This window comes from Homo sapiens, chromosome 2, assembly GCF_000001405.40.
Source record: "Homo sapiens chromosome 2, GRCh38.p14 Primary Assembly".
Taxonomy (NCBI): Eukaryota; Metazoa; Chordata; class Mammalia; order Primates; family Hominidae; genus Homo; species Homo sapiens.
The window spans coordinates 33,189,042-33,202,947 of NC_000002.12; the positions used below are offsets into that span (position 1 = coordinate 33,189,042).

General features: G+C 39.2%; 1 protein-coding gene across 65 annotated transcripts in view; it reads left to right on the forward strand.

The window, feature by feature from the left end:
* LTBP1 (latent transforming growth factor beta binding protein 1) overlaps window positions 1-13,906 on the forward strand; it is a 452,557-nt gene that overhangs the window by 242,089 nt on the left and 196,562 nt on the right. The gene's annotated exons all lie outside the window — the stretch shown is intronic.

Below are 13,906 nucleotides of genomic sequence, written 5' to 3' on the forward strand. Positions count from 1 at the left end.
TATGCCCATTTTCATGCGATGACTGCAGAATTAAATAGTCCAGTGAGATCATATGGTCTGTGGAACCTAAAATATTTACTGTGTGTCTTTTTACAGAAAAAGCTTGCCAGTCCCTGATGTACAGAATACATTTATTTATTTATTTGTTTATTGATTGATTGATTGATTGATTGAGTTGGAGTCTCACTCTGTTGCCCAGGCTGGAGTGCAGTGGCACGATCTTGGCTCACTGCAACTTCCACCTCCCAGCTTCAAGTGATTCTCCTGCCTTAGCCTCCTAAGTAGCTGGGATTATAGGCACGTGCCACCACTCTCAGCTAACGTTTATAATTTTAGTAGAGATGGGGTTTCACCATGTTGGCCAGGTTGGTCTCAAACTCCTGACCTCAAGTGGTCTGCCTGCCTCGTCCTCCCACAGTGCTGGGATTATAGGCATGAGCTACCATGCCTGGCTTCCAGAAATGTTTCAGGAAGTCCATGATTACCTGTTTCTATTTTTTCAGTTAGGATGATCTGTGTATAAAATGTGTCAGGCGTGAGATATGGTACAGAATATATATTCCGCAAAGATGCTTGTAAATATTTTTGCCTTTTGCAGTAGTTTTGTTCATGAGTTTTGAATTCATTGTGCAATAATAATTCATGTCATCTTTGACAGGAAGTAATATTTCATGTTATCTTTTATTTTCTTATAAAAATTCAGGCCGGGTGCTGTGGCTCATGCCTATAATCCTACCACTTTGGGAGGCCGAGGCAGGTGGATTACCTGAGGTCAGGAGTTCGAGACCAGCCTGGCCAACATGATGAAACCCCGTCTCTACTAAAAATACAAAAAATTAGCCCGGCGTGGTGGCAGGCGCCTGTAATCCCAGCTACTTGGGAGGCTGAGGCAGGAGAACCACTGGAGCCTGGGAGATGGAGGTTGTAGTGAGTCAAGATCATACCACTGCGCTCCAGCCTGGGTGACAGGAGTGAGACTCTGTCTCAAAAGAAAGAAAAAAAAATTCATAACTTGCAAGGTGTAGTGCATGAGTTGTTTGAAGTGTAACTTTAGGCCTACATTTATATCATAAAGTGAGAGAAAGGCAAAATTTTCTTTAAAACTCATCATTGAATGTGCATAGCGAAGACAACCTAAAAGCGTTGGTTCCTCCACTCCATTATGTGGTAATGATGGAGGCTTCGTTCTGTGGTTTCCCTCCTGTCTTTTGGTTATGGGTTAAACCCCTCATGAGAAGACTAGATGAGATACATTTATTATTATTCCTCTGCGATGTCTTGAATATTAAAAATATATCGTGTGTGTGTGTATATGCGCATGAAATACTTGGGAGTAATAGAACTAATTGTCACTGCTTTAGAAACCTGGGAAACACTTTTAGGTAGTAAGTCAATGGTAAGATTGTCACCTTTCTTCTAGGAGAAGGAGGGGAGATTGTAGACCTGAATGGAAGGCAGCATATGGGAATGGAAAGAGCATCCTTGTGGAGTTGTAAGACCTTGATTAGAGCTGTGAGCCCAGCACTCGGTAGGAGGGAAGTGGCTTCCTTATCTGCAAAGTAGAGATAAGATGTGGGGCTCATGAGACTTTGTTAAGATTAATCAAGATAATGTGAGCCCTGCTTTGCAAATATTATAGAACGATGCAAATATTAGCTTAGAGAATATTTATCAAGATGAGTCAAACTTAAGCAGCCATCTACTATGACTGTTTTTATATCATGTGCTTTCAGTAAGATAGGGGACAGCATCGATCCCACAAACACAGCCCTCATTGGCCTGTGGACACCTGAAATGCGACTACAGGGGACCTAACGTGGCTTTTCATTCCCCAGTTTTGCAAATGCTTTTGGGAGAAGGAACATCAGTCTAAATTTAGCTTAAAAGTAAAGACAATGTTTATGCTAAGGGTAGATTTTGATAAGGACAGTGGGGCTGAAGATAAACTTTATACACTTCACAGCTTTGCACTGAACTAGTCTTGGAGAGGGAGGACAAATTTCGTGCCATTTGCATTGTTTATTCATTCCAGCTTAGGTTGGTCATGGAGAAAGGAAAAAGCAGATCTTTTTAAAATTGTGTGCCCAGTACCTTTCTCCCCGTTTCCAAGTTGGAACACAGATGATAAAAAGCAAGAAAATGAGGCATAACAAACTTGTTATTCTTGTATAATATTAGGTGATTGTTAACAAGAAAAGATGAAAAGATACTATTGACTTGTAAGCCTAGAGTGTACAATTGAAATGAATTGGCTAATTGATGGAGTTACCCAAATAATTAAAACTCTGGAATACTTTTGTCTTATCTGCATACATCTCTGACTTTTGGTCTAAAAGATCCAAACAGTGATCTCAATTCTTAATTCATTTTGCATGTGTACTCACTCATACACAGCTTCAAAATAAGACCTGTTTTTTGGAAAGCATTCTCAGCATATATTTATTGGTCTTCCTGTTCATGAGGAATGTTGCTGGATGCTAAAGACTGCCCAATTAATTTGTGCAATTAGGGTGAACCAGGCATTTAAAAAATACATTACTGGCAAATAATCATAGTGTGTAGGTGTATCCTACTATCCTACAAAGGATTTTGAAAACATTTGTGCTTTCTTGCTGTGGTTGGTTTGCAAACGTAGCTATAGCCAGGAGGTATAGGTAGATTTTAAATGGCAGATAATCCAAAACAAAAACAAAACCCTGGATAAATGCTCACTGTTGCTTTGCTCAGTGGAGCCGTCTTATTAATTGCAAGTGTCAAACATTGAGACTTTCAATGCAATAGTTACCAATAAACATCTATGTTTATATGTTGCTATGAGAGGTCATATACAAAATAAATTTGGCAGAGATAGCCCTTGTTTCTGTGGCACATTCTAATAATTAGGTAGTAAACTTGGGATTGAACACCAAGATGAACTGTGATCAACGTATTTAAATTCAGGAAAGCTTTGTAGGGTAGAATTTCAGAACTGTTTGGAGGGTGGAGGAAAATGGATGATTGATGAGGAAACCAAGCTCACAGAGCAGAAAGGGAGAGTAATTGAACAGAGGAAAGAGAACAGTACAAGAAATGGGCAGGGAAGAGTTGTCAGAAGAGATCAGAGAAGTGAAATAGCTTGGGATTCTTGGCAGGCTATTGCACAAATATTAAGCCTCTTAAATCTGAGGCATAGTGCAGTATAAATGACTTGCTGGCAAGGTCAGCGTGTCAGGAAGCCCCTTTGACTAAGTGATCAACTCAGCGTCATTAATAGTGGGGCAGCCTGACCTTATGTGCCTCCTGCTGTGAGACAGTATAGAGTGCAGAATTACCCATGAAGTGTTCTTGCCAAATATATCTAACCTGAATCTAATCAAACCCTTAGACTTAACCCCAAGTTTACAGGGAATACCAAGGGTAAAGAAACAAGTTAAAAACATCACACTCAGACAGAAAAAACAATCAGACATTGACAACGTAGGGCATTGTTGCCTGGTTTCTTAAAAAAAAAAAATCAGAGTATAAAAGAAAGTGAGATGATGTTTGTAGAAAGAGACACAAAAAATAAGTGTAATATATTCACCTTAATTAAATCTTGATTTTTTAAAAAAAAGCCAGATCTAAGAGATATTTTGGGAATAGTTGGGGAAATTTGAACATGAGCTCTGTCTTAGTCCATTTTGTGTTGTTATAACAGAGTGTCACAGACTGGGTAATCTATAAAGAAAAGACATTTATTTCTCACTGTTTTAGAGGCTGTGAAGTTCAATATCAAGATGCCAGCATGTGACCAGGGCCTTCTTACTAAGTCACCCCATAGCAGAAGGACAGGAGAACACAAGAGAGCAAGGGGGAGCTGAACTTGCTTTTATAACAAGTCCACTCTGGTGATAACTAACCCACTCCCAAGATAATGACATTAATGCATTCATGAGGGAAGACCCTCTTATTAGGTCCCATACTCCTAACACTGTCGCTTTCAGGGGATTAAGTTTCTAACACATGAACTTTGGGGGACACATTCAAACCATAGGAAATGTCATTAGATGATATTTTGGAATTACTAGTTTTCTTATGTGTGGTAATAGTATTGGGATTATGTAGGAAAATATCCTTATTCTTTTTTGTTTGTTTGTTTTGAGATGGAGTCTCTCACTCTGTGGCCCAAGCTGGAGTGCAGTGGAGCAGAGGTGACACTGCAACCTCTGCCTCCCTGGTTCAAGGGATTCTCCTGCCTCAGCCTCCCGAGTGGCTGGAATTACAGGTGTGCACCACCACACCCAGCTAATTTTTGTATTTTTAGTAGAGACGGGGTTTCACCATGTTGCCCAGGCTGGTTTAGAACTCCTGACCTCAGGTGATCCACCCGCCTTGGCCTCCCAAAATGCTGGGATTACAGGCATGAGCCACCGCACCCAGCAGGAAAATGTCCTTATTCTTAATAGATGAATGCTGAAAGTTTTAGGGGTGAAATTCCATGATGTTCGTAGTTTACAGGCACACTTTCTTTTACTGCACCTCACTTCCACTCTTTGTAGATAGATATTGTGTCTTTTACTAATTGAATGAAGGTTCTGGCAGCCTTGCTTATAGGCAAGCAAGTTTTTCTGACAGCATGCTCTCACTTTGTGTCTCTGTCACATGTTGGTAATTTTTGCAATATTTCAAGACCTTTTCATTGTTGTATCTGTTATGGTGATGTGTGATAAGTGATTTTTGTTACTATTGTAATTGTTTTGGGGCATCACAAACCACAACCATATAAGATGGCAAACTTAATTGATACATGTGTATTCTCTGACTGCTCTACCAACTGGCCATTCCCCCATCTCTCTCCCTGTCTTCAGGCATCCCTATTGGCTGAAACACAACAATATTGAAATTAGGCTAATTGATAATAACACAATGGCCTTTAAATGTTCAAGTGGAAGAAGGAGTCACACATCTCTCACTTTATTTATTTTTATTTATTTATTTATTTTTGAGACAGAGTTCTTGCTCTGTTACCCAGGCTGGAGTGCAGTGGCACGATCCTGGCTCACTGCAAGGTCTGCCTCCCGGGTTCACGCCATTCTCCTGCCTCAGCCTCCCAAGTAACTGAGACAACAGGCGCCCGCCACCACGCCCGGGTAATTTTTGTATTTTTATTAGAGATGGGGTTTCACCGTGTTAGCCAGGGTGGTCTCGATCTCCTGACCTCGTGATCCACCCTCCTCGGCCTCCCAAAGTGCTGGGGTTACAGACGTGAGCCACCGAGCCCGGCCACATCTCTCACTTTAAATCAAAAGCTAAAAATGATTAACCTTAGTGAGGAGGGCATGTTGAAAGCCAAAATAAGCCAAAAGCTAGGCCTTTGCATCAGTTAGCCAAGTTGTGAATTCGAAGGAAAAGTTCTTGAAGGAAATTAAAAGTGCTACTCCAGAGAGTACATGAATGATAAGAAAGTAAAACAGCTCTGTTGCTAATACGGAGAATGTTTGAGAGAGGTCTAGAACCAGCCACAACATTCTCTTCAGCCAGAGCTCAATCCAGAACAAGGACCTAACTTTCTTCAATTCTCTGAAGGCTTGGAGAGGTCAGGAAGTTGCAGAAGAAAAATCTGAAGCTAGTAGTGGTTGGTTCATGAGGTTTAAAGAAAGAAGCCATCTGCATACCATAAAAGTACAAGGAGAAGCAGCAAGTACTGATGTAGAAGCTGCAGCAAGTTGTCCAGAAGATCACTGATAAAGGTGGCTACACTAAGCAGCCTTATACCTGAAGAAGATGCCATTTAGGACTTTCATAGCTAGAGAGAAAGTCATTGCTTGGCTTCAGAGGACAGGCTGGCTCTCTTGTTAAGGGCTAATGCAGCTGGTGACTTTTAGTTGCAGCCAGTGCTCATAGGCTGTTCTGAAAATTCTATGGCCCTTAAGAACTATGTTAAATGTACTCTGCCTGTGCTATATAAAGAGAATAGCAAAGCCCGGATGACGGCACATGTGTTTGCAGTTTGGTTTACCGAAGGTTTTAAGACCACTATTGAGAACTGATGCTCAGAATAAAAGATTCCTTTCAAAATATTACTGCTCATTGACAATGTACCTGGTCACTCAAGAGCTCTAATGGAGATGTACAAAAAGATGAATGTTGTTTTCATGCCTGCAATCACAACATCCATTCTGTAGCCCATGGATCAAGGAGTCATTTGGACTTTCAAGTCTTATTATTTAAGAAATACATTTTTTAAGGCTATTACTGCCATAGATCATGATTCCTCTGATGGATCTGGGCAAAGTAAATAAAAAGCTTTCTGGAAAGAGTTTGCCATTCTAGATGCCATTAGAAACATTCATGATACATGGGAGGAGGTCAAAATATCAGCATTAAAGATATTTAATTAAATTAGATACTTGAAAATGTCAAATCCCACCCTTATGGATGACTTTGAGGGGTACAAAATTTCAGTGGAGGAAGTCACTACAGATATGGTGGAAATAGCAAGAGAACTCGAGTTAGAAGTGGATCCTGAAGATATGACCAAACTGCTGCAATCTCATGTTCAAACTTGAATGGATGAGGAGCTGCTGCTTATGAATGAGCAAAGAAAGTGCTTTCATGAGATGAAATCGACTCCTGGTGTAGATGCTGTGAACATTGTGAAATGACAACAATGGATTTAGAATACGCTATAAATTTAATTGATAAAGCATTAGCAGGACTTAAGAGGACTGACTCATTTTGAAAGCAGTTCTAGCATGGGTCAAATGCTATCAAACAGTATCACTTACTACAGAGAAATATTTAGTAAAAGGAAGGGTCAGGTAAAGCTGCAGACTTCACTGTTGTCTTATTTTAAGAAATTGCCACAGCCACCCCAACCCTCAGGAACCCCCATCCTGATTGGTTGACAGTCATCAACATCAAGGCAAGACCCTCTACCAGCAAAAAGGTTATGACTCACAGAAGGCTCCGATGATTATTAGCATTTTTAAAGCAATAAAGTGTTTTAAAATTAAGGTATGTACTTTAAAGCATAGCGCTACTGCAAACTTAATAGACGACAGTATAGTGTAAACATGACTTTTATTTGCACTGGGAAACTGACAGATTCATGTGAGTCGCTTTATTGTGATAATAACTTTATTGCAGTGGTCAGGAACTGAACCCACAACATATCTGAGATATTGCCCGTAGTTTCAGAGGTATTTTACACACAAGTAGCACGAACTTGACTCTTGAGCGGTTCATATGCAGGTGATCATTGTATTATCCTTTGAATATCTCAGTATATTGGAAAATATTTTAGAAAGAAGGGGGAAAATATTAAAATTTCCTAGACTTATAAATAGAATAGTATATTTTAAAGCCGAATTTAAAAGCTTTCACTGTAATACATTTAGAGACTTTTTAGAAACAAACTTAAAGTTTTTAACTGTTTAATGGGAGTGTTGGGTGAGTGTGAGGTGACATGAGGCCAAGGAAGAGAAATTGGCCTTGTGAAATGACCAAGGGCCAATCTAAGAAGTCAAGTTGAAAAAAAAGGAGATGACTATAGGGGATTTTGTGAGGAATCAAGCATCAGGATTGCGTTACAGGCTGTTGTGAAGACAAGGATGATGAAGAAATGAACGGTTCTGAATTTTCTTCTAAATAAATAAATGCTAAATAAATGCTAACTAAATAAATGCTCACCAGAGTTGATTTCTTGACCCTTAGCAGGGAGGATTGTGAGAAGATGAGCAATGACATCTTTGTTACAAGCAGCCTCATCCTTGATTAATATTAGGAAGGGTGTACTCTTAATTATCAGTCAAGGAAGTCCAGGGTGTTTTCGAGATGGAATGCTAGAGAATTAATGGAGAAAATTCAGTGATCAGTGAATAGATTTGCTGATGATAGCTTAAATTCATGACCACAGAGGACATTTCTTTGGATTGCATTATAATGAGAAAAGAGCGGGAATAATGGAGTTAAAGGTTTCTGTAATGTTTTCTCACCTTGACAGAGAATGCCAACCTGTAGGGAAAAAAACATTTCTATTGTTTTGTTTTTGTAAAAAGTTACGTTTAGTATTTCAGAGTTCTAAAAATATGTTTAACAATCAAATAAATCATTGGTGTTTATGTGAATTAGGCTGTCTATATAGGCAGTCTCTATAGGCATCACTAAATCTCCTATATTCAAAGAACAGAAATTGATCTCATAGAACTATATAGGGTGACAGACAGGAGTGGTTTTCTTGAATATAAATCAAGTATGAAGTAGTTGGCCGGTCCTAATTTTGGCAGAGTTAGGTTTCTGTGCTACCTGGAGTAAGTTGTGGTAGTCTACATATATGTGAAAACATTTGCAAGAGTTTGCTCACTGACTGTTAGAATGACAATTCCAGTGGTTACAATCACCAGCCACTTCAGGGTAATCTCATTTTTCACAGGCTTCAAACCCGAACATTTCTGTGGTAGTTATCATCTCTGAGGAGAGGCCAAGTTTCAGAAAATACCCCTCCAATTTATTTTTGCATCATAGGAACATTGAATATGTTCATCTTTTTTACATAAAAATCAATTGTATAAGGGTGTCCTTTGTTTTTAAATTGGATCTCTTTAACAGTGACCTAAATTCAAAGCTTGTTTGGCATCTGACTTTTTGATTGTTTCAAACATGTTTTATTGATTGCCCAGTTCCTGGAAACAAACATGTAGTGACCTAGTTATGCCAGATGGTATGAAAAGGCCTTCTATGGGAAGCATTTAGAATCACAGTATAGAGTTCAGGGTCCAGCTTCCATGCTGAACCTGCCCACTGCCTCGTTGCACAAGCCTGTGCTCTTTGTTGAACCCAGGAACCTGCCTCGTAATCAGACAGAAGCGTTATAAGGGGAGACAAAAAATTCAAGTGCTTCAAGATTTCCTGTTTCAAGATGCTGAAAGATCAGAAAATTTTACATATAAATACCTGAGTTAATTAAAAAGCAGGTATTCCAGGACTCTGGAAAACCCTGATTTATACAGCATATGTTTTAAGTACAGCACTCTAACACAGATAAAGATGATCAAATAACACATGAACCCACTTTTATAGTTTGCAACTATAAAACTCTTAGAAAATATTTTAAAAACCATAAGAAACAAACTTTTCTGCATCTATTGAGATAATCAGGTGGTTTTTGTCTTTGGTTCTGTTTATATGCTGGATTACATTTATTGATTTGCGTATATTGAACCAGCCTTGCATCCCAGGGATGAAGCCCACTTGATCATGGTGGATAAGCTTTTTGATGTGCTGCTGGATTCGGTTTGCTAGTATTTTTTTGAGGATTTTTGCATCAATGTTCATCAAGGATATTGGTCTAAAATTCTCTTTTTTGGTTGTGTCTCTGCCTGGCTTTGGTATCAGGATGATGCTGGCCTCATAAAATGAGTTAGGGAGGATTCCCTCTTTTTCTATTGACTGGAATAGTTTCAGAAGGAATGGTACCAGTTCCTCCTTGTACCTCTGGTAGAATTCGGCTGTGAATCCATCTGGTCCTGGACTCTTTTTGGTTGGTAAGCTGGTGATTATTGCCACCATTTCAGATCCTGTTATTGGTCTATTCAGAGATTCAACTTCTTCCTGGTTTAGTCTTGGGAGAGTGTATATGTCGAGGAATTTATCCATTTCTTCTAGATTTTCTAGTGTATTAGCGTAGAGGTGTTTGTAGTATTCTCTGATGGTAGTTTGTATTTCTGTGGGATCGGTGGTGATATCCCCTTTATCATTTTTTATTGCGTCTATTTGATTCTCCTCTCTTTTCTTCTTTATTAGTCTTGCTAGCGGTCTATCAATTTTGTTGATCCTTTCAAAAAACCAGCTCCTGGATTCATTAATTTTTTGAAGGGTTTTTTGTGTCTCTATTTCTTTGAGTTCTGCTCTGATTTTAGTTATTTCTTGCCTTCTGCTAGCTTTTGAATGTGTTTGCTCTTGCTTTTCTAGTTCTTTTAATTGTGATGTTAGGGTGTCAGTTTTGGATCTTTCCTGCTTTCTCTTGTGGGCATTTAGTGCTATAAATTTCCCTCTACACACTGCTTCGAATGTGTCCCAGAGATTCTGGTATGTTGTGTCTTTGTTCTCGTTGGTTTCAAAGAACATCTTTATTTCTGCCTTCATTTCGTTATGTACCCAGTAGTCATTCAGGAGCAGGTTGTTCAGTTTCCATGTAGTTGAACGGTTTTGAGTGAGTTTCTTAATCCTGAGTTCTAGTTTGATTGCACTGTGGTCTGAGAGACAGTTTGTTATCATTTCTGTTCTTTTACATTTGCCAAGGAGAGCTTTACTTCCAAGTATGTGGTCAATTTTGGACTAGGTGTGGTGTGGTGCTGAAAAAAATGTATATTCTGTTGATTTGGGGTGGAGGGTTCTGTAGATGTCTTTGACAAAATTCAACAACCCTTCATGCTAAAAACTCTCAATAAATTAGGTATTGATGGGATGTATCTCAAAATAATAAGAGCTACCTGTGACAGACCCACAGCCAATATCATACTGAATGGGCAAAAACTGGAAGCATTCCCTTTGAAAACTGGCACAAGACAGGGATGCCCTCTCTCACCATTCCTATTCAACATAGTGTTGGAAGTTCTGGCCAGGGCAATTAGGCAGGAGAAGGAAATAAAGGGTATTCAGTTAGGAAAAGAGGAAGTCAAATTGTCCCTGTTGGCAGATGACATGATTGTATATCTAGAAAACCCCATCGTCTCAGCCCAAAATCTCCTTAAGCTGATAAGCAACTTCAGCAAAGTCTCAGGATACAAAATCAATGTACAAAAATCACAAGCATTCTTATACACCAATAACAGACAAACAGAGAGCCAAATCATGAGTGAACTCCCATTCACAATTGCTTCCAAGATAATAAAATACCTAGGAATCCAACTTACAAAGGATGTGAAGGACCTCTTCAAGGAGAACTACAAACCACTGCTCAATGAAATAAAAGAGGATACAAACAAATGGAAGAACATTCCATGCTCATGGGTAGGAAGAATCAATATCGTGAAAATGGCCATACTGCCCAAGGTAATGTATAGATTCAATGCCATCCCCATCAAGCTACCAATGACTTTCTTCACAGAATTGGAAAAAACTACTCAAAAGTTCATATGGAACCAAAAAAGAGCCCACATTGCCAAGTCAATCCTAAGCCAAAAGAACAAAGCTGGAGGCATCACGCTACCTGACTTCAAACTATACTACAAGGCTACAGTAACCAAAACAGCGTGGTACTGGTACCAAAACAGAGATATAAATCAATGCAACAGAACAGAGCCCTCAGAAATAATGCCACATATCTACAACTATCTGATCTTTGACAAACCTGAGAAAAACAAGCAATGGGGAAAGGATTCCCTATTTAATAAATGGTGCTGGGAAAACTGGCTAGCCATATGTAGAAAGCTGAAACTGGATCTCTTCTTTATACCTTATACAAAAATTAATTGAAGATGGATTAAAGACTTAAACGTTAGACCTAAAACCATAAAAACCCTAGAAGAAAACCTAGGCATTACCATTCAGGACATAGGCTTGGGCAAGGACTTCCTGTCTAAAACACCAAAAGCAATGGCAACAAAAGCCAAAATTGACAAATGGGATCTAATTAAACTAAAGAGCTTCTGCACAGCAAAAGAAGCTACCATCAGAGTGAACAGGCAACCTACAAAATGGGAGAAAATTTTTGCAACCTACTCATCTGACAAAGGGCTAATATCCAGAATCTACAATGAACTCAAACAAATTTACAAGAAAAAAACAAACAACCCCATCAAAAAGTGGGCGAAGGATATGAACAGACACTTCTCAAAAGAAGACATTTATGGAGCCAAAAGACACATGAAAAAATGCTCATCATCACTGGCCATCAGAGAAATACAAATCAAAACCACAATGAGATACCATCTGACACCAGTTAGAATGGCAATCATTAAAAAGTCAGGAAACAACAGGTGCTGGAGAGGATGTGGAGAATTAGGTACACTTTTACACTGTTGGTGGGACTGTAAACTAGTTCAACCATTGTGGAAGTCAGTGTGGCAATTCCTAAGGGATCTAGAATTAGAAATACCATTTGACCCAGCCATCCCATTACTGAGTATATACCCAAAGGACTATAAATCATGCTGCTATAAAGACACATGCACACGTATGTTTATTGCGGCAGTATTCACAATAGCAAAGACTTGGAACCAACCCAAATGGCCAACAATGATAGACTGGATTAAGAAAATGTGGCACATATACACCATGGAATACTATGCAGCCATAAAAAATGATGAGTTCATGTCCTTTGTAGGGACAGGGATGAAATTGGAAATCATCATTCTCAGTAAACTATGGCAAGGACAAAAAAACCAAACACCGCATATTCTCACTCATAGGTGGGAATTGAACAGTGAGAACACATGGACACAGGAAGGGGAACATCACACTCTGGGGACTGTTGTGGGGTGGGGGGAGGCGGGAGGGATAGCATTAGGAGATATACCTAATGCTAAATAACGAGTTAATGGGTGCAGCACACCAGCATGGCACATGTATACATATGTAACTAACCTGCACATTGTGCACATGTAACCTAAAACTTAAAGTATAATGATAATAAAAAAAAAGAAGAAGAAAAAAAAAGAAACAAACTTCAAGATTAAGGTCTTTATACATATTCTACAGAAGAAAATAAACTTTATGTGGATTAGGAAGAAAGGAAAGGACTGGTAGTTGATGTGGAATCCTGAAATCATTGTGAAAACTCTTTTTTCCTTTAATTATTGGTCATATAAATAATAAGCCTTAGGGCAAAATTGGGTTAAAGTGACACAAGAACTGTTTGGGATTCTGTTAGAGATGCCAGAAGTTGTTCCAGCAGTTCTGTTTGGACAGGAAAAATGGAAACAGAATGGACCATTGGAGAACAAGATTATCTAATTGAAGATAGGTCTCTTTTGGCAGATATGTTCAGTAACATCCTAAGCTCTAAAGCTTAGCACTGGAACACACACACACACACACACACACACACACACACACACAGAGCATTCTAAAGGGCCAAATAGATATACTTAGCTTTTGTTTAAAAAAACTTAAAAGAATAAGCTTAATGGAGAAATTAACAGGAAAATATGAGCTCATTGAAGTGGAAAGTATCCTAATTGCATGGCTGAAATTACTTTTTTTTAAAAGAGTTTCAATACTTTTGTCACAGGACTTTGAATAAAGAAAAATATTTCTTGGTTTCCACTGGACAAAAGCCAGTAAGAAGCTGGGGAAATAGATGTGATGCCTGCCAACTCCACATGGGAGAAAAAGATGGGTAGATGGTTGGGTCGATGCAGATGAGATGGGCACTTTGGAAATCTTTTCTCAGTGATGAGAAATGGTGTTCATTTAGGGGAGCTGAGACATTGAGTTCTGCTCAGAAACCTGCTCTTGAATTTCCGCAGTATCTCTCCTGTCCTGGCAACGTGAATATTACTGGGATGAAGCCTAAATCTATGATTACAAAACAAACAAACCTAGTTTTATCCTGACAGAAGTAATGCCAGAATTATTGTAACACTTTTCACACTGGTTATTCCCTAAACTGAGTCCATAAACTATGTAAATAGATTAGAAGTCTAAAGAAAAAAATGGTTATAAAACATCTTACTTATGTGGAAGGGGAACTGAGCCAGGCTGGGTCAGTAGAGGGCAGAGGTGAATTGTGGCTCTCTCTTCCTCCCCATCGCCTAAGGCCACATGCCCTTATGGATAGGGCCCTCCCAGGTGATCTTGGACCAGTGCAGTGGCCTGCCTTCTTTTGGAGGAGCTGCTGGGCAGTGACTGGGGAAGGTGAGGCTGAGGCTACTAGACATCTGTCTTCTTGCTGAGCAGAGAGCTCAGTTGGAGTGTGTGCTGATTGCATTTATTGAAGCTTGGC